Source organism: Homo sapiens, chromosome 18, assembly GCF_000001405.40.
Source record: "Homo sapiens chromosome 18, GRCh38.p14 Primary Assembly".
NCBI classification, from domain to species: Eukaryota; Metazoa; Chordata; class Mammalia; order Primates; family Hominidae; genus Homo; species Homo sapiens.
Window position 1 is genome coordinate 101,149 of NC_000018.10, and position 22,806 is coordinate 123,954.

General features: G+C 42.0%; 1 non-coding gene and 1 pseudogene across 4 annotated transcripts, besides 7 other annotated features; one reads left to right on the forward strand and one right to left on the reverse strand.

Annotated features, from left to right (window-relative positions):
* Positions 5,767-6,450: an enhancer, noted in NCBI's record as "OCT4-NANOG hESC enhancer chr18:106915-107598 (GRCh37/hg19 assembly coordinates)". NCBI's record gives its function as "activates a minimal SCP1, AML or CMV promoter by ChIP-STARR-seq in naive and primed H9 embryonic stem cells {active_cell/tissue: H9 hESC(naive and primed)}" and the evidence as "EXISTENCE:reporter gene assay evidence [ECO:0000049][PMID:30033119]".
* Positions 6,743-7,532: an enhancer, noted in NCBI's record as "OCT4-NANOG-H3K27ac hESC enhancer chr18:107891-108680 (GRCh37/hg19 assembly coordinates)". NCBI's record gives its function as "activates a minimal SCP1, AML or CMV promoter by ChIP-STARR-seq in naive and primed H9 embryonic stem cells {active_cell/tissue: H9 hESC(naive and primed)}" and the evidence as "EXISTENCE:reporter gene assay evidence [ECO:0000049][PMID:30033119]".
* Positions 7,533-8,320: an enhancer, noted in NCBI's record as "OCT4-NANOG-H3K27ac hESC enhancer chr18:108681-109468 (GRCh37/hg19 assembly coordinates)". NCBI's record gives its function as "activates a minimal SCP1, AML or CMV promoter by ChIP-STARR-seq in primed H9 embryonic stem cells {active_cell/tissue: H9 hESC(primed)}" and the evidence as "EXISTENCE:reporter gene assay evidence [ECO:0000049][PMID:30033119]".
* ROCK1P1 (Rho associated coiled-coil containing protein kinase 1 pseudogene 1) lies at positions 7,917-21,192 on the forward strand (annotated as a pseudogene). Of its 3 annotated transcripts, none has more exons than NR_033770.1 (5): positions 7,917-8,305; positions 15,694-15,772; positions 15,895-16,156; positions 17,149-17,356; positions 19,553-21,071. The product of NR_033770.1 is annotated as a Rho associated coiled-coil containing protein kinase 1 pseudogene 1, transcript variant 3 (transcript). The 3 variants fall into 3 exon arrangements; NR_160778.1 differs by lacking the exon at positions 7,917-8,305 and adding an exon at positions 10,465-10,668 and having other exon boundaries at positions 19,553-21,192; NR_160777.1 differs by lacking the exon at positions 7,917-8,305 and adding an exon at positions 10,950-11,406 and having other exon boundaries at positions 19,553-21,192.
* Positions 8,264-8,313: a silencer, noted in NCBI's record as "silent region_9234". NCBI's record gives its function as "represses an Ori minimal core promoter by ATAC-STARR-seq in GM12878 lymphoblastoid cells {active_cell/tissue: GM12878}" and the evidence as "EXISTENCE:reporter gene assay evidence [ECO:0000049][PMID:35858748]".
* Positions 8,321-9,109: an enhancer, noted in NCBI's record as "OCT4-NANOG-H3K27ac hESC enhancer chr18:109469-110257 (GRCh37/hg19 assembly coordinates)". NCBI's record gives its function as "activates a minimal SCP1, AML or CMV promoter by ChIP-STARR-seq in naive and primed H9 embryonic stem cells {active_cell/tissue: H9 hESC(naive and primed)}" and the evidence as "EXISTENCE:reporter gene assay evidence [ECO:0000049][PMID:30033119]".
* Positions 9,110-9,897: an enhancer, noted in NCBI's record as "OCT4-NANOG-H3K27ac hESC enhancer chr18:110258-111045 (GRCh37/hg19 assembly coordinates)". NCBI's record gives its function as "activates a minimal SCP1, AML or CMV promoter by ChIP-STARR-seq in naive and primed H9 embryonic stem cells {active_cell/tissue: H9 hESC(naive and primed)}" and the evidence as "EXISTENCE:reporter gene assay evidence [ECO:0000049][PMID:30033119]".
* Positions 10,623-10,872: a silencer, noted in NCBI's record as "silent region_9235". NCBI's record gives its function as "represses an Ori minimal core promoter by ATAC-STARR-seq in GM12878 lymphoblastoid cells {active_cell/tissue: GM12878}" and the evidence as "EXISTENCE:reporter gene assay evidence [ECO:0000049][PMID:35858748]".
* On the reverse strand, positions 11,108-11,191 carry MIR8078 (microRNA 8078). The gene has a single exon (NR_107045.1). It is a non-coding gene; the product is annotated as a microRNA 8078 (primary transcript).
* Positions 21,193-22,806: the final 1,614 nt, after the last annotated feature.

The following is a 22,806-nucleotide window of genomic DNA, read 5'->3' on the forward strand; positions in this document are numbered from 1 at the left end:
TTTGAGATTGTGATGGATGAACAAACTAATTAAGAGCCCAAATTGAAAGTTTGGGATAAATATCTGAGTGTGTCTAATATCCCAATTTTTCATCCTAGAATGGGCAGAGTCCTTGACCCCATTCTAGGGAGACGTCCAAAAGAAAAAAGACCTGCATTTCTTCAGCAACCCACACTGAGAGACTTTCCTGTACTTTTGACCTGTGGCTAACACTCCTCACCTTTCATTCTGTCATCAGTGTTTTGGGGAAGCACCTTTATCTCTCTGATTTACAGGCTATTAAGTGGCCCTTACAATTCCCTCCAGAGATGGAAAAGACATGATGATGGTGTCTGAGCTCACAGCAGCAAGCAGGCACGTGTGCTCAGAAGCCACATGGCTCATCTGCTAGGAGCTTGCTAAATACGATGTTCTACAACATTGCCTAACACAAGGGGAGACGCTCCTGACTCACAGTGTTTAATTGCTCATCTACTTCATTTTCTGCCCTCTTGGGCTTATAAAATGAAAAGAACCCTGGGGTGATACAGTGAATCAAAGGGGTGCCAGCCGCATCACAGCAAAATAGATTCCTAAAAAATCCCTGGCCTAAGATGACAGCCTTGGCTGGATACGTTTGAATGTGCTCATAGTGGATATGGTAGAATGAAGGTGGTTGAAATGTTCATATTAAAGAACTTCCACCCAGATTGCAAAAAAAGAGAGAGGAATGGAGATGGCAGCACGAGTCCCTACATAAAAGCAGATGTTTTGAGATCAGTTATATTTCTTCTGACAAAAATTGAAGACAGAAACGAAAGTTTAGCCTGAGACTACAATTAATTGGGCAATAAGCCAGAGGCACATATGGCATAGACAGATTTAAACATTTCTCCCTTATATTAATACAAATACTAAAATTACAAATACTTTGATTCCAAATAAAACAAATATTTAAAAAATTTAATGAATAAATACTGGGGTCTACAGTAGTATTTGAAGGAGATCTCACAAACAGGTTTGGTTTTTGAAGGTTAGAACTAGTGGTCTGGAGAATTCATTTCATTCCGAGACAGAAAGAGAGGAATTTCTTGGGTTCCTTCAGGAATGCGTCTAGTTTTGCCTCATCTTTGTTTGAACTATAGATACAGCAGAAGAAAACGTGAGGATTTCACAGATTTAAGGTGCAAAAAGTCACTGGGTTCTCTAAGAAGTCTGGGATTCTTCTGCTGGAAAAATAAGTTTGTTGAGAAAAAATGAGTTGGAGGAGGCTGTTATTGAAGTGAAGCAGAATTGTTTTTACTAATCTGCTTATTACCCACTCTGTAATGTGGAAACAAATTATTCACTCACAAGGTCCTCTTACTGTTCCCAGAATGCAGTGGAAAGAGAACAGATTAGTTTTCCTCCCTCAGAACACAACCCCTAGAAACATCCTACCTCAGATGAGATATTGCCTAATTATTTTCAAAAGACAGTGAAAAATCTTGGAAGTAAATGTTTGCTGCAAAATAAATACATGCTAGAAACAGAAGCATCTGGGACACAGCTATATTAGAGCTACCTGTGTTCCCCTGTCACTGAGATTAAAACAAAAATGTCCAATACAATCATTCACAGCATGGGAAAGGGGAAGTTGAAGGATGGAAAGGCCAGGCATAAAAGGATTTCAGAATTTGCGTCCATAAGGAAGTGGATTTGTGCATTGTCTGTTACTGCGTGCAAGGTGAAGTTTGGAGAATGAAAACGTGCAGTAACAAGGGCTCCTTTGTCCATCTCACCTCTCCAGATACCACGTTTCAGACATGTTGCATTTCACTTGAAAGGTTGATATAATTCTTTTAAAAGAACACTTGCGGTGTTTGAAGCGACAAAGGCTGCTGTGACAAAAAAGCAGTGAAAGGGAATTTTTTTTAAAAAAAGCAAACAACAACAACAAAAACCCCACAGAAAAGCAAACAACAAACAAACAAAAAACAGAGGAAGAAGTCAAACACCCTGGGCTATGACTACTTCAAGGAAGGGGCTACAAGAGGCAGTTGGAAATTCCATTTGCTTTGCAACTGTGGGTTTTCCAGCCTGCTTCCTTTCTAAAGTATATTACTCTGCTTTTGGTTCATGAAATTATCAGTTTCTGTTTTCTGGAACAGCTATGTACTTTCTTTATCTATCATCTATCTATCTACCTTCCTATCATCTATCTATCTGTTTACTATCTGTCTTTTCTACCTTTTGCTATCAAAAGCTTGGGTCAAGCAGTATAGAATTCCAGTGTATGTTCACTCTACCATTTAAAACAAGAACTCTTGTAGGAATTCTCCATCACATCATAAACCTGAGCTTTCTAAAACAAGGTGTGGCAAACTACCATACATGGACTATGTCTGACACAGTCTGCGTTTGTAAGTAAAGTTGTAATGGGACACAGCCACATACATATGTTATATAACGTCTCTGGCTACTTTCATGGTATAATGGAAGAGCTGAGTCATTGAGAGAGAGACCATATGGCTTGGAAAATTTAAAATATTTAACATTTAGCCCTTTGCAGAAAATATTTGCTGACTCTTGTTTTAAAAGATCTCTGTGGCCAGGCGCGGTGGCTCATGCCTGTAATCCCAGCACTTTGGGAGGCCGAGGCTAGCAGATCATGAGGCCAGGAGATCGAGACCATCCTGGCTAACCCAGTGAAACCCCGTCTCTACTAAAAATACAAAAAAATTAGCCGGGTGTGGTGGCGGGCGACTGTAGTCCCAACTACTCCAGAGGCCGAGGCAGGAGAATGGTGTGAACCTGGGAGGAGGAGCTTGCAGTGAGCCGGGATCATGCCACTGCATTCCAGCCCGGGCAACAGAGCAAGACTCCATCTCAAAAAAAAAAAAAAAAAAAAAGGATCTCTGTTTAGAATGCTACCTATTGCCTTCTGGATAGAATCACAACTCTTTACCACAATCAACACAGCTTCAGCCCTGCTTCTATATCCAGCCTCATCTATTTCTGCTCCTCCTCCTTATTTTCCTCCTGGACATGCTGATGGATTGTCAGCTTCCCAGATGTGTGAGAGTCTCTCCTGCCTTCCTAACATTCTCATGCTCTCCCTCTGCCTCTCAAGAACTTCCTGCCCCATCTCTCATGACAAATCCCTTCTTCATTCTTTAAGATGAAGCCCCTTTGCTCCTTCCTTAAGGATGTCTGTCTGGCTTCATTTTGGGGGACGTGCTCCTTCTGCATCTCCCAGAGCCAGCCTGTGTGTGTCAGCTACAACATTTCTTTGCATCTCTGTGTCATATATCACCAAATCTGCCTAAGCTTGAGTGAGTCACTACATGACAATTTCAGACTCCAGAAGCAATGTCCCCACTAACCACGAGGCTTAGACATTTGTCCAGTATGCTCGGGGTTGTGGGGTGGTAGCAGTAACCAGCTGGTGAGCATCATTTCTTACATCAGAATCAAATCTGTAGATCTCTGCGATTCATAAGTATTTGGAGTTTAAAATTAGCATAAAGATTTTCCTTAAAATAAGAACAAATGGCTTGAGTAGGCTTTTGGAACGTAGGATGTTTCCATTGGTTCATTTCTGTGTTCAGTATTCCCACATGAATCTAAACACTACTCTGCTCTTAGTAGCTGTGTGACCCTGGGAAAGTCACTCAATCTCCCTCAGCTAAATTTTGTTGTGTGTGTAATGAGAAGAGAGTTGTGATTTGTATTTAGTGAATAATAACAAACAAAAAGCATTTAGCTTTCTGGAACCTGGTATGTAGTAGAACCTCATGTAAATACTAGCTCTGTTGATAAAACTAGACCAAAAGAAGGTTTCAAGGTCAACAACAGTATGAGGCAGTGAAGAACATAGAGGAGAAGCTGCTTCTGCAGCCTGTAGCTCCTGGGGACCCGTTTTGTCCATGATTTAGCAGGAACACACTACCTTTCCATGAGGAGAAACTGTCCACAGAAACCAAGGCCATTCTTTGAAGACAAACATGTCTTAATAGCCTTTACATTAAGTAATAGTGTAATATAAATAATAATTATTAGTAATAATGTGAAATTATTTACACTACCCTAACCCTAAACCTAACCCCAATCCTAACCCTAACCCTAACCCTAAACCTAACCCTAACCCTAACCCTAATCCTAACCCCAATCCTAACCCTAACCCAACCCTAAACCTAACCCTAACCCTAACCCTAAACCTAACCCCAATCCTAACCCTAACCCTAACCCTAAACCCTAACCCTAACCGTAACCCATAACCCTAACCCTAAACCTAACCCAGCCCTAACACCTAACCCTAACCCCTAACCCTAACCCGTAACCCTAACCCTAACTCTTAACCTGAACCCGAACCCGAATCCAAACTTGAACCTGAACCCTAAGCCTTACCCTAAGCCTAAGCCTAACCCCTAACCCTAACCCTAACCCTAAACCTAATGCTCACCCTAACCCTAACCCTCACCCTCACCCTGACCCTCACCCTCACCCTGACCCTCACCCTGACCCTCACCCTGACCCTCACCCTAACCCTAACCCTCACCCTCGCCATTGTGACATATTGCAGGAAACAAAATCCAGGTGATGTAACTCTTGTCTAGCCTCTGCCTACAGGAGGCATTGTGACATATCTCTACACTGATCACACAGGTGATGGAACTCTTGTCTAGGCTCTGCCTATGGGGGCACTGTGATAGATCTCTGCACTGATCACCCAAGTGATGTAATACTTGTCTACACTCTGCCTACGGCAGCTTTGACATATGTCTGCACTGATGACCCAGATGATGTAACTCTTGTCTAGTCTTTTCCTATGTGGGTTTTGTGACTTGTCTCTGCACTGATCGCCCAGATGATGTAACTTTTGTCTAGGCTCTGCTTACTTGGAGGATTGTGACATATCTCTGCAAAGATCACCCAGATGATGTAACTCTCCTCTAGGCTCTGCCTACTGGGGGCATTGTTACATATCTCTGCACTGATCACCCAGGTGATGTAACTCTTGTGTTGGATCTGCCTATGGGGGCATTGCAACATATTTCTGCACTGATCACCCAGGTGATGTAACTCTTGTCTAGGCTCTGTCTACTGGGGGCATTGTGACATATTTCTGCACTGATCACCCAGGTGATAGGACTCTTGTCTAGGCTCTGCCTACTGGAGCATTGTGACATATCTCTGCCCTTATCACCCAGGTGATGTAACTCTTGTCTAGGCTCCGCCCACAGGGGGCATAGTGACATATCACCGTACTGATCATCCAGGTAATATAATTCTTGTCTAGGCTCTGCCTACAGGGGGCATTGTGAAATATCTCTGCACTGATCATCTAGGTGATGTAACTCTTGTCTACACTCTGCCTGCAGGGACATTGTGAGATATCTCTGCACTGATCAACCAGGTGATGTAACTCTTGTCTAGGCTCTGCTTACGGGGGTATTGTGACATAGCTCTGCACTGATCACCTAAGTGATGTAACACTTGTGTAGGCTCTGCCTACATGGGCATTGTGACACATCTCTGAACTGATCAACCAAGTGATGTAACTCTTGTCTAGGCTCTGCCTATGGGGGCTTTGTGACATATCTCTGCACTGATCACCCTGGTGATGGGACTTTTGTCTACGCTCTGCCTATGGGGGCATTGTGACATATCTCTACACTGATCACCCAGGTGATGTAACTCTTGTGTTGGATCTGCCTATGGGGGCATTGTGACATATTTCTGCACTGATCACCCAGGGGATGGGACTGTTGTCTAGGCTCTGTGTATGGGGGCTTTGTGACATATCTCTGCACTGATCACTCAGGTGATGTAACGCTTGACTAGGCTCTGCCTACTGGGGCATAGTGACATATCACTGCATTGATCACTCAGGTGATGTAACTATTGTCTAGGCTCTGCTTAAAGGGGCCTTGTCACATATCTCTGCACTGATCACCCAGGTGATGGAACACTTGTCTAGGCTCTGCCTACATGGGCATTGTGACACATCTCTGAACTGATCAACAAAGTGATGTAACTCTTGTCTAGGCTCTGCCTACAGGGGCTTTGTGACATATCTCTGCACTGATCACCCAGGTGATGGGACTTTTGTCTAGGCTCTGTCTACGGGGGCATTGTGACATATCTCTACACTGATCACCCAGGTGATGTAACTCTTGTGTTGGATCTGCCTATGGGGGCATTGAGACATATTTCTGCACTGATCACCCAGGTGATGTAACACTTGTGTTGGATCTGCCTATAGGGGCATTGTGACATATTTCTGCACTGATCACCCAGGTGATGGGACTCTTGTCTAGGCTCTGTGTATGGGGGCTTTCTGACATATCTCTGCACTGATCACCCAGGTGATGTAACGCTTGACTAGGCTCTGCCTACGGGGCACAGTGACATATCACTGCATTGATCACCGAGGTGATGTAACTCTTGTCCAGGCTCTGCCTATAGGGGGCCTTGTGACGTATCTCTGCACTGATCATCTAGGTGATGTAACTCTTGCTTACGCTCTGCCTGCAGGGGCATTGAGAAATATCTCTTTACTGATCAACCAGATGATGTAACTCTTGTCTAGGCTCTGCCTACAGGGGGCATTGTGGCATAACTCTGCACTGATCACCCAGGTGAAGGGACTCTTCTCTAGGTTCTGCCTACTGGGGGCATTGTCACATATTTCTGCAGTGATCACCCAGGTGACTGACTCTTGTCTTGGATTTGCCTATGGGGGCAATGTGACATACCTCTGCACTGATCACCCAGGTGATGTAACTCTGGTCTAAGCTCTGCCTAAAGGGGCATTGTGACAGATCTCTGCACTGATCACTCAGGTGATGTAACTATTGTCTAGGCTCTGCTTAAAGGGGCCTTGTCACATATGTCTGCACTGATCACCCAGGTGATGTAACTCTTGTCTAGGCTCTGCTTACAGGGGGTATTGTGACATATCTCTGCACTGATCACCTAAGTGATGTAATACTTGTGTAGGCTCTGCCTACAGGGGCATTTTGACATATCTCTGCACTGTTAACCGAGGTGATGTAACTCTTGTCTAGGCTGTGCCCACAGGGGGATTGAGACATATCTCTGCACTGATCCCGAGGTGATCCAACTCTTGCCTGGTCTCTGCCTACTGGGGACATTGTGACATATCTCTGCACTGATCTCCCAGGTGCTGTAACTTTTGTCTAGGCTCTGGCTACACAGCATTGTGACATATGACTGCACTGATCACCCAGGTGATATAACTCTTGTCTAGGCTCTGCCTACAGGGGGCTTGTGACATATCTCTGCACTGATCACCCAGGTGATATAACTCTTCTCTAGGATCTGCCTACAGGGTGCTTTGTGACATATCCCTGCAATGATCACCCAGGTGATGTACCACTTGTCAAGGCTCTGCCTACAGGGGCATTGCGATGTATCTCTGCACTGATCACCTAGGTCATGTAACTCTTGTCTAGGCTCTGCCTACAGTGGCATTGTGACATATCTCTGCACTGATCACCCAAGTAATGGGACTCTTGTCTAGGATCTGCCTAAAGGGACTTTGTGACATAACTCTGCACTAATCATCCAGGTGATGGGGCTTTTGTCTAGGCTCTGCCTAAGGGGGCATTGTGACGTATTTCTGCACTGATCACCCAGGAGACGGACTCTTGTCTTGGATCTGCCTATGGGGGCATTGTGACATATATCTGCACTGATCACCCAGGTGATGTAACTGTTGTATAAGCTCTGCCTACAGGGGAATTGTGAGAGATCTCGCCACTGATCACCCAAGTGATGTAACTATTGTCTAGGCTTTGGCCTACAGGGGGCTTTGTGACATACCTTTGCTCTGATCACCCAGGTGATGTAACTCATCTAAGCTCTGCCTACAGGAGCTTTGTGACATATCTCTGCACTGATCACTTAGGTGATGTAACACTTTTATAAGCACTGCCTACAGGGAATTTCGACAAATCTCTGCACTGATCACCTAGGTGATGTAACTCTTGTCTACCCTCTGCCTACAGGGGGCGTTGTGAAATATCTCTGCACTGATCACCCAGGTGATGCAACTCTTGACTAGGATCTGCCTACAGGAGGTATTGTGAAATATCTCTGCACTGATCAACTAGGTGATGTAACTCTTGTCTAAGCTCTGCCTGCAGGGGCGTTTTCACATATCCCTGAACTGATGACAAAGGTGATGTAACTCTTGCCTAGGCTTTGCCTACAGGGGACATTGTGACATATCTCTGCACTGATCACCCAGGTGATGCAACTCTTCTCTGTGCTCTGCCTACAGGGTACATTGTGACATATCTCTGCACAGATCACCCAGGTAATGTAACTCTTTTCTAGTCTCTGCCTACAGAGGGCGTTGTGACATCACTCTGCACGGATCACCTGGGTTATGTAACTCTTGTCTAGGCTCTGCCTACAGGGGCATTGTGACGTATCTCTGCACTGATCACAGAGGTGATGTAACTCTTGTTTAGGCTCTGCCTACTGGAGACATTGTGACATATCTCCGCACTGATCACCCAGGTGATGTCACTTTTGTCAAGGATATGGCTACAGGGACATTGTGACATATCTCTGCACTGATCACCCAGGTGATGTAACCCTTGTCTAGGCTCTGCCAAAAGGGGGCATTGTGACATAACTCTGCACTGATCACCCAGGTGATGGGACTCTTGTCTAGGCTCTGCCTACAGGGGCATTGTGACATATCTCTGCAGTGATCACGCAGGTGATGTAACTCTTGTCTATATCTGTCTACTGGTGGCATTGTGGCATATTTCTGCACTGATCACCCAGGTGATGGACTCTTGTCTTGGATCTGCCTATGGGGGCATAGTGACATATCTCTGCACTGATCACTCATGTGATGTAACGCTTGTCTAAGCTGCGCCTAAAGGCGAATTGTGACAGATATCTCCACTGATCACCCAGGTGATGTAACTCTTGTCTAGGCCCCACCTACAGGGGGTATTGTGACGTATCTCTGCAGTGATCACCCAGGTGATGTAACACTCATCTAGGCTCTGCCTACAGGGGCGTTTTGACATAGCTCTGCACAGATCATCTAGGTTATGTAACTTTTGTCCACTCTCTGCCTACAGGGGGCATTGTGAAATATCTCTGCACTGATCACCCAGGTGATGGGACTCTTCTCTATACTCTGCCTAGAGGGGGATTTGTGACATATCTCTGCACTGATCACCCAGGTGATGGAAGTCTTGTCTAGGCTCTGTCTATGGGGGCATTGTGTCAAATATCTGCACTGATCACCCAGGTGATGTAACTCTTGTCTAGGCTCTGTCTACAGGGATTTTTGTGACATATCACTGCACTGATCACCTAGGTGATGTAAACCTTGTATGGGCTTTGCCTACAGAAGGCTTTGTGACATATCTATGCACTGATCTCTGAGGTGATTCAACTCTTGTCTAGGCACTGCCTACAGGGCACATTGGTACATATCTCTGCACTGATCACCCAGGTGATGGACCCTTGTCTTAGATCTGCCTACATGGACATTGTGACACATCTCTGAACTGATCAACCAAGTGATGAAACTCTTGTCTAGGCTCTGCCTACAGGGGCTTTGTGACACATCTCTGCACTGATCACCCTGGGGAGGGAACTCTTGTCTACGCTCTGCCTACAGGGGCTTTGTGACACATCTCTGCACTGATCACCCTGGGGAGGGAACTCTTGTCTACGCTCTGCCTACAGGAGGCTTTATGACTAATACTTACACTGATAACCTAGGTGATGTAACACTTGTCTAGGCTCTGCCTACACGGGAATTCTCACATATCTCTGCACTGATAACCTAGGTGATGTAACACTTGTCTAGGCTCTGCCTACAAGGGAATTCTCACATATCTCTGCACTGATCCCCCAGGTGATGTAACTCCTGTCTAGGTTCAGCCTACAGGAGCGTTTTGACATATCTCTGCACTGATCACCCAGGTGATGTAACACTTGTCCAAGCTCTGCCTACAGGGGCATTGTGACAGATCTCTCCAATGCTCACTCAGGAGATGTAAAAATTGTCTGGGCTTTGCTTACAGGGGGCTTTGTGATATATATTTCCACTGATCAAACAGGTGATGTAACCCTTGTCAAGGTTCTGCTTAAAGCGGCTTTGTGAGATATCTCTGCACTGATCAGCCCAGGGAGGGAACACTTGTCTACACTCTGCCTACAGGAGGCTTTATGACTTATCCCTGCACTGATCACTAGGTGATGTAACAATTGTCTAGGCTCTGTCTACACGGGAATTTTCACATACCTCTACACTGATCACCTAAGTGATGTAACCCTTGTCTAGGTTCAGCCTACTAGGGAGATCTGACACACATCTGCACTGATCACCGAGGTGATGTAAATCATTTCCAGGCTTTTTCTACAGGGGACATTGTGACATATCTCTGCACTGATCACCCAAATGGTGCAAATCTTCTCTAGGATCCACAGGGAGGGGGCATTGTGACATATCTCTGAACTGATCATCCAGGAGATGCAACTCTACTCCAGGCTTTGCCTAGACAGCGTCGGAAGGTGGGGGGAGAGACTCAGCCAGAATTTCACGGACAAACAAGGGCACAGAGAGGCCAGCGAGCTCCCTTGCACGTCAGCCGGGGTGCGCACTGCGCGCAGGTCTAGCCAGGAGGCCGGCAAAGACAGCCAGAGGTGTGCCTTCGACCGCCAGGCGCTCCGTGCTGGCAGCCGGGAGGCCGCAGGGGCCCGGGCGGGCGGGCGACGGTGGCGCGCAGGCGCAGAGGAGGCGAGCCGCCGGAGGGTGTCAGGCCTGGACGCTGCGCGGGCCCGGCGTTTCGCGGGACGGGGGTCTCCACCCAGCGCAGGGGACGACGCGTTCTCCGGGGGTGGGGGGTGGGGGTGGGGAGGGGCCCAGGGGACGACGCGTTTTCCGGGGGCGGGGGGTGGGGGTGGGGAGGGGGCGGTCAGGCGGCGGGGTGGGGCGGTGGAGAGGCGGGAGAGCTCTGTCCCGGCTGCTCCCACAGCCCAGGCGGCTGCCCGCAAACCCGCGCGTGCGCAGTAGGCGGCCCACCTGCTGGTACCTGGGCCGGCTCTGGGATCCCCGGGATGCCCAGGAAAGAATGGCAGTTCTCCGCTGTGTGGAGTCTCTCACCGGGCCTAGACCTAGAAGGCAGGAATCCCAGGCCGGTCAGCCCGGTGGAGGGGGCGGGGCGGAGACACGCCCCTCCGTAGCCAGCCAGGTGTTCCCCGCGAAAGAGAGGCCACCGCCCTGCCCCGAACCACCCGACCCCGTCCCAACCCCGCGTCCTAAAGCTCCTCCAGCAGAGCCCGGTATTCTTCCTCGCTGAGGGGTGCTTCCAGCGAGGCGGCCTCTTCCGAGGCCTCCAGCTCCCCCGGGGCCTCCGTTTCTGGGAAAGGGTTAGACACAGAGTAAGTTGCCTTTGATTGAATTTTAAAGGGGTTGAGAGCTAACTTTTGATAATTATTTTTAGACTTAAAATTTATTTTATATTTTGTGTTACTTCAGCACTGTTACCTACTTTTCTGTTTTTCTTAAGCATAAATGTTGACATTATATTAAATCTTCAGCAAAATGTGAGAAGGAAAAATGTATATACTTATTTCATGTATTTGGAAGACAACTTTTTTAGTTCAAGTGTTTAGTAGTTTGAGTTCAGAGAGCATTTCAAAAAGTATAGTCAGCTGTGTATCAGTGGGTTCCATATCCACAACTGTGGATAGAAAATATTTGAAAGAGGGCCGGGTGCGGTGACTCACACCTGTAACCCCAGCACTTTGGGAGGTCGAAGCAGGTGGATCACCTGAGGTCAGGAATTCAAGACCAGCCTGGCCAACATGGTGAAACCCCGTCTCTACTAAAAATCCAAAAATTAGCTGGGCGTGGTGGCAGGCGCCTGTAGTCCCAGCTACTCAGAAGGCTGAGGCAGGAGAATCACTTGAACCTGGGAGGCAGAGGTTGCAGTGAGCCGAGATTGCGCCACTGCACTCCGGCCTGGGCCACAAGAGCGAAACTCTGTCTCAAAAAAAAAAAAAATATATATATATATATATAAAATATTATATATATATATTTTATAACTATTAATAGAAATTTCTTTAAAAAATACAGTATAACAACTGTTTACATCGCATTTATACTGTATTATGTCTTATGAGTAATACAGACATGATTTTAAAGCATACAGGAGGATGTGCCTAGGTTATATGCAAATACCACACCATTTTATATAAGAGCCTTGAGCATACTTGGACTTTGATATTTTTGGAGTTCCTGGAATCAATTCCCTGTGGATATAAAAGAACAACTGTGTAGGATTCTTTGGTCATTATTAAGGGGAAATATAAATATATCTGTTCTTTTGTAATGATAGGTCAAAGAGGCCTATAATATGGTATTTTTTCTTATATTCATTCTAAAATCTTTTCTTAAGTATTGCTGCTTATATTATCATAGATTATGTAGTATGTATAAAGATGAGTAAATTCCATCATTAAGGACCTTACCGACTAGTAGGAGAAAAGGCAGAACATATTCAACAAAATATATATTCAAAGTCAAGTCTGGTAACTGCTTTTTAAAAGAAATATATATATAAAATAAAGTATTATCATCCCTTTGAAATTAAGTATTTGTGGAGCTGGTTATAGTTAGAATGTAAAAAGAATTAAGCAAGTTCTAGAGAATACTCTTACTTTATTTTCTATTTTTTTAATAAACAGCTTTAGTTGTCAAAATTTAAATTATCAGCTTAAGTGAAATAATACATAAACACTAGTATGAAAGATACTATCTTTCAACTAAGTTAAATACTTTTTAGATTGATGAGAGATTTCTTTCCTCTCTTTATTAAGGTATAATTTCCCACAATAAAGTTCATAGATCTTAAGTGTTCTCTTCAGTAACTTTTTACAGTTGTAAACACTCATATAATCACTCAAGACAAGATTTTAAAAAATCGTATTTCTTTAGAAAACTCACTTGTGGCTGGGCACAGTGGTTATGCCTCTAATCCCAGCACTTTGGGAGACCAAGGTGGGCGGTTGGCCTGAGTTCAATTTGAGACCAGCCTGGGCAACATAGCGAGACCCTGTCTCTGAAAAAAGAATTTTTTTTTTTTTTAAATTTATGAAGAGAGCTCACTTGGGCCAGTTGTGGTGGCTCACACCTGTAATCCCAGCACTTTGGAAGGCTGAGGTGGGAGGATCACGAGGTCAGGAGTTCATTCGAGACCAGTCTGGCCAACATGGTGAAACCCTGTCTCTACTAAAAATACAAAAAATTAGCTGGGCGTGGTGGCAGGTGCCTGTAATCCCAGCTACTCGGGAGGCTGAGGCAGGAGAATCGCTTGAACCCAGGAGGCTGAGGTTGCGGTGAGCCAAGATTGCACCACTGCACTGCAGCCCGGGTGACAGAGCGAGACTCCATCTCAAAAAAAAAAAAAAAAAGAAAAAGGAAAGCTCACTTGTACCTCTTCCCATGATCTGATTTCTATTGCCAAGATTAGTTTTGCCTGTTCTAGAACTTTATATAAATGGAATTAAACAGTAATGTACACTTTTGTGCCTAGCATCTTTCACTCAGCCTGCACCTGTGGTGGTGTATGTATTGATTGTTCTTTGTATTGCTGAATAGTATAACATTGCATGAATTTGTTTATCCATTTTTGTGTTGATTGACATTTGGGTTGCTTCCAATTTGGGGCTATCGTAAATAAGGCTTATGAGCATTCCTTTTTTTAACTTATGTTTTCATTTCTCATGGGTAAATACCCAGGATTGGAATCCTGGGTTATAAAGTAGATCTGTGTTTAACTTTTTAAAAATCTACCAAACAATTCTCAAAAATTATTATGTCACACTATTTTATATTCACCAACAGTATGAGTTTCAGTTGCTCCACATCCTCACCAACATTTGGTGATATCAACCTTTGATTTTAGCTTTTCTAGTGGATGTTAAATGCTATTTCATTGTTATTTTAATTTGCATTCTCCTCATAACTAATAATACCAAGAATCTTTCATGTCGTTATTAGCCATTGTATATCTTTTCTTTTTTCAAGTCTTTTGCCCATTTTTAAATTGGGTTGCTTATGTTTTTAAGATTGGTTTTTAAGAGTTCTAGATATATTCTGAATAAGAATCCTATGTTAGAAATATGTAATGCAAATATTTCCCAATCTGTTGCTTACCTGTTGATTTTGTTAATGGTGTCTTTTAATGAGGATCAGTGTACCAATTTTTAAAATGTTTTCTGCCTTTTGTGGTCTGTGTTTGGTAAGAGGTAGTTGTTTAGGTCAGGTTGGCTTTTTTCCCCCCACATAGGTATCTGGTTGTTCCAACAGTATTTGTTTTTATATGTTGACCTTGAATCATTTAATCTTGCTTTGCACTTAACAGTTTTATAGGGTTGTGGGGTTTTGGGATCAGTTCCACAGAGCTTTTCTACACACAGTCAGCCCTCTGTATCCATGGGTTCTGCATCTGTATATTCATCCAACCATGGATTGAAAATGTAGTTAGGCCTATTGTGGTTGTGTCTGTACTTAATATGTACAGATTTGTTTTCTTGTCATTATTCTCTAAACAATATAATATAATAACAATTTCCATAGCATTTACATTGTATTAGATATTATCTAGAGACAATTTTAAATATACAGGAAGGTGTACTTAGGTTATATACAAATACTACACCATTTCTTATCTTTTCTTTTTTTCCTGTCTCTTCCCTCCTTCCCTCTCATTCTCTCTCTTTCTCTTTCACTCTCTCTCTTCAAAATCCTCCGGGGTCCTGGGACCAATCTGCCACAGATACCACGAGACAACTGCATACAATCATGTCATCGCCAAATAAAGAGTTTTACTCCTTTCTTTCCGATCTGTATGCCTTTCTCACGTGTATAGATTTGTATGCCCACCACCACACTCAAAATACAGAACAATTCCATCACAAGCATCCCTGTGCTACTCCTTTTGTAGTCAAAAGGCAGCTTCCTTCCTCCACCTCTCCCTAATCCATAGCAACATTAATCTGTTCTCCATCTCCATAATTTTGTCTCTTCAAGAGTGTTATATGAATGGAATCAAATAATGTGTAATCTTTTCTGATCAGCTTTTTTTCCCATTCAGTATAATTCCCTTAAGATCAATCCAAGTATAATTTGTTTTTTTCTTGTTGAGTAGTATTCCATAGTATAGATGTATCACAGTTTGCTTACCCATTTATTTGGGTTGTTTCTAGGTTTTGGTTATTATGAATAAAGCTCCTATGAACATCTATGTGCAGGTTTTTTTAAATAGATATAAAATGTTATATGAATTTTTGTTTCTTGAAATTAAAGGCCCAACAGTGCAATTTGCTGGGTTATATGGTAAGCATATGTTTAGTTTTCTAAGAAATTGCCATATTCTTTTTCCAGAGTGGCTCTGTAATTTTATGTTTCCATCAGCAGTATATGAGTGATTTACTTTCTCTGCATTCTCACAAGCATTTGATGTTACTACTGTTTTTATTTTTTTAACTCTGATAGATGTGTAGTGACACTCATTGTGGTTTTAATTTGCATTTCTCTAATGACTGATGATGTTGAATATCTTTTTGTGTGCTTATTTATCACCCATATGTCCTCTTTAGTGAAATGTCTTTTACAATAAATGAGTTTTTGTAAATGGCCTATATTTATTTTCATTTTAGTAAACTGTTTCACGTTAGACCTGTAACCCAAGGAGATGTGTATAGAGCTGAAACTGAAGAAATTCCTAAAATATTCCAGGTAAAAATCTGAAGTTATAATTTTAAAGAATCTAAGTCCTAAGCGTTTTTGTGAAGTAAATGTAAAATATACCAATGCTTAAGATTTTTAAAATCTTTTCCTTTCACCATTCCTGAATGTAGATACTATATGCAAATGAAGGTGAATGTAGAAAAGATGTAGAGATGGAACCAGTACAAGAAGCTGAAAAAACTAATTTCCAAAATCACAAAGGCCATGAGTTTATTCCTACACTCTACCACTTTCCTGCCAATTGTGATGCCTGTGCCAAACCTCTCTGGCATGTTTTTAAGCCACCCCCTGCCCTAGAGTGTCAAAGACGCCATGTTAAGTGCCACAGAGATCACTTAGATAAGAAAGAGGACTTAATTTGTCCATGTAAAGGTAAGGCATGGTAATTATTGTTACAACTTATAACAAATTTAGTTTTAAGTCTCAATGAACTAACTTATGTGTAGTGATTTCTATACCAAGTTGAAAAGAGATTATAAAAAGTATTATTTTGACACTGGTGGGGCAATATGCAGCTATTTACAGATTTAGCTTTTAAAAATGTTTTTATTTATTTTTATTGATTGATTGATTGAGATGGATTCTCACTCTGTCTCGCCCAGGCTGGAGTGCAGTGGCGTGATCTCAGCTCACTGCAGCCTCTGCCTCCCAGGTTCAAGTGATTCTCCTATCTCAGCCTCCTGAGTAGCTGGGACTATAGGCGTGTGCCACCACACCCGGCTAATTTTGTATTTTTAGTAGAGATGGAGTTTCACCATGTTGTCCAGGCTGGTTTCGAACTCCTGACATCAGGTGATCCACCCACCTCGGCCTCCCAAAGTGCTGGGATTACAGGTGTGAGCCATTGCACGCCCGGCCAACAGTGTTTTTAAAGAGAATCACCCCCTTGTAAACAAACAAAAACAAACAAACATGCTGCTAAGAAATTATTCCAAGTTGGAGAGAAGAGCAACAGGTGAGTTCCACTCTATTCCTCCCTTGAGTTTTTCCTCTTCTTTTTGTCTGGCATTCACTGCCTGGATCAGCATGCATGCTGTATCACAGAATATCTTCTAGTTTTACAGAGGTAGCTTGAGGGAAAGAATACAGACCATAGCTATTTTCAGATAAGAAGCTTATGTTCTTTAAATACATTTATTTGTTTTACATTTTTTTATATTTCTGATTTTACTTTATTAGTTTGACTAATTTTTTTTTTAATTTCAGCCTTATTTAACTTAAGGAGAATGAGATATTGTTCATGCTTAATTAAGCATATTAAAACTTTTAAAACCTTAAGAACTTGAAAAACTATGCATTTGATAGGTTGGATTTTAAAAAACTATATGGCTTTAATTATGCTTTTTTTTTCCTCCTTAACATAGTAAGTTATGATGTAACATCAGCAAGAGATATGCTGCTGTTAGCATGTTCTCAGGATGAACAAAAAAAATGGGTAACTCATTTAGTAAAGAAAATCCCTAAGAATCCACCATCTGGTTTTGTTCGTGCTTCCCCTTGAACGCTTTCTACAAGATCCACTGCAAATCAGTCTTTCCGGAAAGTGGTCAAAAATACATCTGGAAAAACTAGGTAAGGATTTGAAATGCTAACGTTTTTAACAATGTGAAAATGATTGGATAACAGCTATTAAAATCAGAAATCTAATTGTGCTTTTCACCACAGAGGGCATCATTTTTAGGTATTTGTATGTGAATTGCAGTGACTTTATAAATTAGTTTAACTTATTCTTGTTAGAGTTTAATAATAATAATACATGCAATATTATATTTATTTAGTTCTGTGTCTAATTTTATTGTCATAAGTTGCTGTACATGGCATAGTTTTAGCCCTTAATGCTTTAACCAACTTGTTAATTTTTTTAATGCAGAAATTCATATAAAACTTTTCATCATCTTTTCTGTTTTTTAACTGTGTTGGCATAGTTTTTCTACAAAAACCAAAATTGTTTTTCCCTTTTTTGTTAACTTCCCATACTATCCCAACATACAAAATTATTTGGTATTATCAGTGACTATGTTTTTTTAATTATTATACTTTAAGTTCTGGGATACATGTGCAGAACATGCAGGTTTGTTACATGGGTATACACGTGCCATGGTGGTTTGCTGCACCCATCAACCCATCATCTACATTAGGTATTTCTCCTAATGCTATCCCTCCCCTAGCCCCCCACCCCCCGACAGGCCCTGGTGTGTGACGTTCCCCTCCCTGTGTCCATGTTTTCTCATTGTTCAACTCCCACTTACGAGTGAGAACCTGTGGTGTTTGGTTTTCTATTCCTGTGTTAGTTTGCTGAGAATGATGGTTTCCAGCTTCATCCATGTCCCTTCAAAGGATGTGAACTCATGACCCCCTTTTTTTTTTGTTTTTTGTTTTTTGAGACAGAGTCTCACTCTGTCACCCCGGCTGGAGTGCAGTGGTGGCGCTATCTCAGCTCACTGCAACCTCCACCTCCCAAGTTCAAGCAATTCTCCAGCCTCAGCCTCCCAAGTAGCGGGGATTACAGACGCATGCCACGCCTGGCTAATTTTTGTATTTTTAGTAGAGAGAGGGTTTCATCATGTTGGCCAGGCTGGTCTCAAACTCCTGACCTCAAATGATCTGCCTGCCCCAGCCTCCCAAAGTGCTGGGATTACAGGCGTGAGCCACCATGCCTGGCTGTTTAACTATTTTTGATGGACTTTTTTCCAAAAATATGTTTTATGCCATGATAAACAATTATAAGGCATAACCATTCATTCATTCATTCATTCATTCATTCATTCATTTTGAGACAGAGTCTCGCTCTGTCACCCAGGCCAGAGTGCAGTGGCGCAATCTCAGCTCACTGCAACCTCTGCCTCCCAGGTTCAAGCTATTCTCCCACCTCAGCCTCCTGAGTAGCTGGGACTACAGGCGCCTGCCACCACACCCAGCTAATTTTTGTATTTTTAGTAGAGATGGAGTTTCAACGTGTTGGCCAGGCTGGTCTTGAACTCCTGACCTCAGGTGATGCACCTTCCTGGGCCTCCCAAAGTGCTGCGATTACAGGCGTGAGCCACCGCACCAGGCAGTTAACTCTTTCTTGGACAGAAATTATGAAATCTCATCTCATTAAGTTCTCATTTTACACATTAGTAAATAAGGCTCAGAGAAATTAAGCAGTTTGCTCAATCACACAGCCAATGGATTGGAAACCATTTCTGTCCAATTCTAAAGCCTATGTTGTCCAATTCCAAAGCCTCTATTCTACCACATACCACCTTCCCTAGAGTGTACTCCCTAGATTAATAGGGCCACTCGAATGAGAAGCTGAGACCTAACACTGATCTGCCTCGCTGCCAGTGTCACCCACATCTTCCAAGCAGGCTGAAAGCCATCCTGAATTCATCCCTTTTGTTCATGCCCTATTGTCAGTAACCAGGCCTAATTCTTTGAAATGACTTATATCCTTTCCTTTCTCAGCCACCATACTATGCCAGGTATTATCACCTTACTGCTAACTTAATTCTGTAGAATGCTATGTCAGCCTTCTCCTGAGCATAGGTTGTAAACTGGCTCTAAAATGATTTGAAATGGGATTATAGCTGAGTAAGAAAATGTGTAGAAACAAAGAGGAGAGAATACTAAGTATATTTTTCCTATTCCTTGTTTTCCAAATTTTGTGTAATTGTTAATTATTGTATGTAAAGATAATGTATATTTACCTTTCCTCCTAATGTTTGTTTCTCGTATTTTTAAACTGAGTGCATTTCTTAAATTAGTTTTTCCCCCCTCCCTCAACAGTTAACCATGTGACCGAGTGCCTTGTGGAATCGTGTGGGATGCTACCTGATAAACCAGGCTTCTTTAACCATGCAGAGCAGACAGGCTGTTTCTTTGACACAAATATCACAGGCTTCAGGGTTAAGATTGCTGTTTTTCTGTCCTTGCTTTGGCACAACACACTGAGGGTTTTTTTTATCGCGGGTTTGCCTACAGGTAGATTAGATTAATTATTACTATGTAATGCAAGTACAGTTGGGGGAAAGCTTAGGTAGATATATTTTTTTTAAAAGGTGCTGCCTTTTTGGATTTATAAGAAAATGGCTGTCAGTCGTGATAGAACAGAGTTTTCCTCATATGAGTAAGAGGAAGGGACTTTCACTTTCAAGTGGAACGGCCATCACTATCAAGATCAGCTCATGGAAGGAGTAAAGAAAATATCTCAAAATGAGACAAACTGAAGTTTTGTTTTTTTTTTAATGACTTAAGTTTTTGTGCTCTTGCAAGACTATACAAAACTATTTTAAGAAAGCAGTGATATCACTTGAACTTCAGTGCCCTCACTGTAGAATTTAAAAGCCTTACTGTTGATTGCCCATGGTGGACTTGATGGAGAAATTAAATATCTTTCATTATGCTTTACAAAATACTGTATATGTTTCAGCAAGTTTGGGGAATGGGAGAGGACGAAAAAAAGTTACATTTAATCTATGCATTTTTGCCAAGCCATATTGAGTTATTTTACTACTAGAGACATTAGGAAACTAACTGTACAAAAGAACCAAGTTTAAAAGCATTTTGTGGGGTACATCATTTCTATAATTGTATAATGTATTTCTTTGTGGTTTTAAATGATAAAGACATTAAGTTAACAAACATATAAGAAATGTATGCACTGTTTGAAATGTAAATTATTCTTAGAACACTTTCAATGGGGGTTGCATTGTCCTTTTAGTGCCTTAATTTGAGATAATTATTTTACTGCCATGAGTAAGTATAGAAATTTCAAAAAATGTATTTTCAAAAAATTATGTGTGTCCGTGAGTTTTTCATTGATAATTGGTTTAATTTAAAATATTTAGAGGTTTGTTGGACTTTCATAAATTGAGTACAATCTTTGCATCAAACTACCTGCTACAATAATGACTTTATAAAACTGCAAAAAATGTAGAAGGTTGCACCAATATAAAAAGGAAATATGGCAATACATCCATGATGTTTTCCAGTTAACATAGGAATTACCAGATAAATACTGTTAAACTCTTGTCCGGTAACAAGAGTTGATTCATATGGACAGTATGATTTATTGTTTCTTTTTTTAACCAAATACCTCCTCAGTAATTTATAATGGCTTTGCAGTAATGTCTATCAGATAAGAAGCACTGGAAAACCGATCGTCTCTAGGATGATATGCATGTTTCAAGTGGTATTGAAAGCCGCACTGATGAATATGTAATAATAAACATATCTGTTATTAATATAGTAATGACTGTGCTCATTTAATGAGAAATAAAAGTAATTTATGGATGGATATCTTTAATTTTGACTGCAATGTGTTTTCTCATGGCTGAAATGAATGGAAAACATACTTCAAATTAGTCTCTGATTGTATATAAATGTTTGTGAAATTCCATGGTTAGATTAAAGTATATTTTTAAAAGATAAAACGTGGTCTTGGGCTCTAAAACAAGAGTGGGAATAGTTCACATGAAAAGCTGGCTAAAGTGTGTTGGAAAACAATTCTCCATGGGTCTCTTGCATTTCTGCACATCAGGGAAGCAGAGGCTCTGACAATCTTTCTTTTGACTATCTTTTCCAAGGATATTTATGTAGTAAACAGCCTTGGAAGATAGAGTGTCTCCCTTGTGAGGATGTCGGGTTCTTTTACTGTCCAGTATAATAAAGATAACGTCTCCCACCTATGATGCAAACCCACTGTGTGCTCAGCACCCACCTGGGCCACTCTGCCCACATGGGGCTTGGAGGGCAAAGGGAACTGATGGAACATGAAACTTATGCTGCTTTTGCTGTGCTGTGAATGAAGTCATCTGACTCTGACCCAGGGGTCTCATCTCTTTTGTCAGGATCCATGAAACTGTGACTGGCAGCATGCAAACAGGATAAAATCTCAGCACAGTTCCTGACGGTGTCCTTACTACCTTCTCAGACTCATCACCATTACCTAATATTTTAAGGTCCAGTTGCAGAGAACAGAGTTAATTCTAATTAGTTTAAGCAAGAGAAGACTTTCCAAATGACATACTAATCTGAACTTAGAATTGTTGAGAACTGAGCTTTGAGGAAGCACTCCCAATGCCACATTACAGAACTGGGTCAACCAGGAGAGCTGCTTCCTCTTCTAAGTTCAGGAAACCACTCACTCCCAAGTATACCAATATTGAGAGGGTCCAGATAGTGCCATAATCAGGAATCCACACTACCACTGCTGGTTCTCTGCAACACTTGTCAGGCTTGCTACAATCTACCTCCAGTTAGATGTTTTGTACCATTCCTCTTGCCACTTAAGAACCTCATGTCTGCACACTGCCTCAGAAAAGGCACTTCCATGACCCTGCTTGCTGGCATTTAGCACAGCCTGCATCTCACATCTGCCTTCTCTAGGTGCATCTACGTGGCCAAAATTAAATCACATCCAGACCCCTAGCTGCAAGAAAGTCTGAGAAATATAGCCTCTAGCTTTCTCTCTAATTTGTTACAGGAGGACACACTAGGAGTGTGGAATGAAGGTTCAGCATTGAGTTAGCCCATGCACCCACACCTGTAAGCTTCTCTGAGATCAGGAACTCCAGCTTTGGGCAACAAAGAAAACATAGCCACTGTCATTATTCACAGGTTCACTCATGACCTGTCATTTGGGGTTTCAGCTTAAATTAACCCGTTCACCCTTCATTTAAAGTAAAAAAAATAAGTAAAAGAACTTAAATGACAAACTCATAGTTACTTGAGTTTGTAATTCATAGTTAACTTTCACAGTTCTATAATCAATCTGGAATTCATTTGTGAGGTAGAGATCAAGCAGTATTTCTCCCATATGGATATTCAGTTGATACTGCAGTATTCATTGAAAAGACTTCTTTCCTGCATCGTAATTCAGGTGAACAATCCATTGGTGTTATTTCTCTGTCCTTGCCAATATCACACTTTTAATTACTGTAGCTTTATAATAAGATTTTATATCTGTAGTAGAAGTCCAACTTTGTAATCCCTCCCAATTGGCTTGGCTATTCTTGGCCTTTTGCATTTCCATATAATTT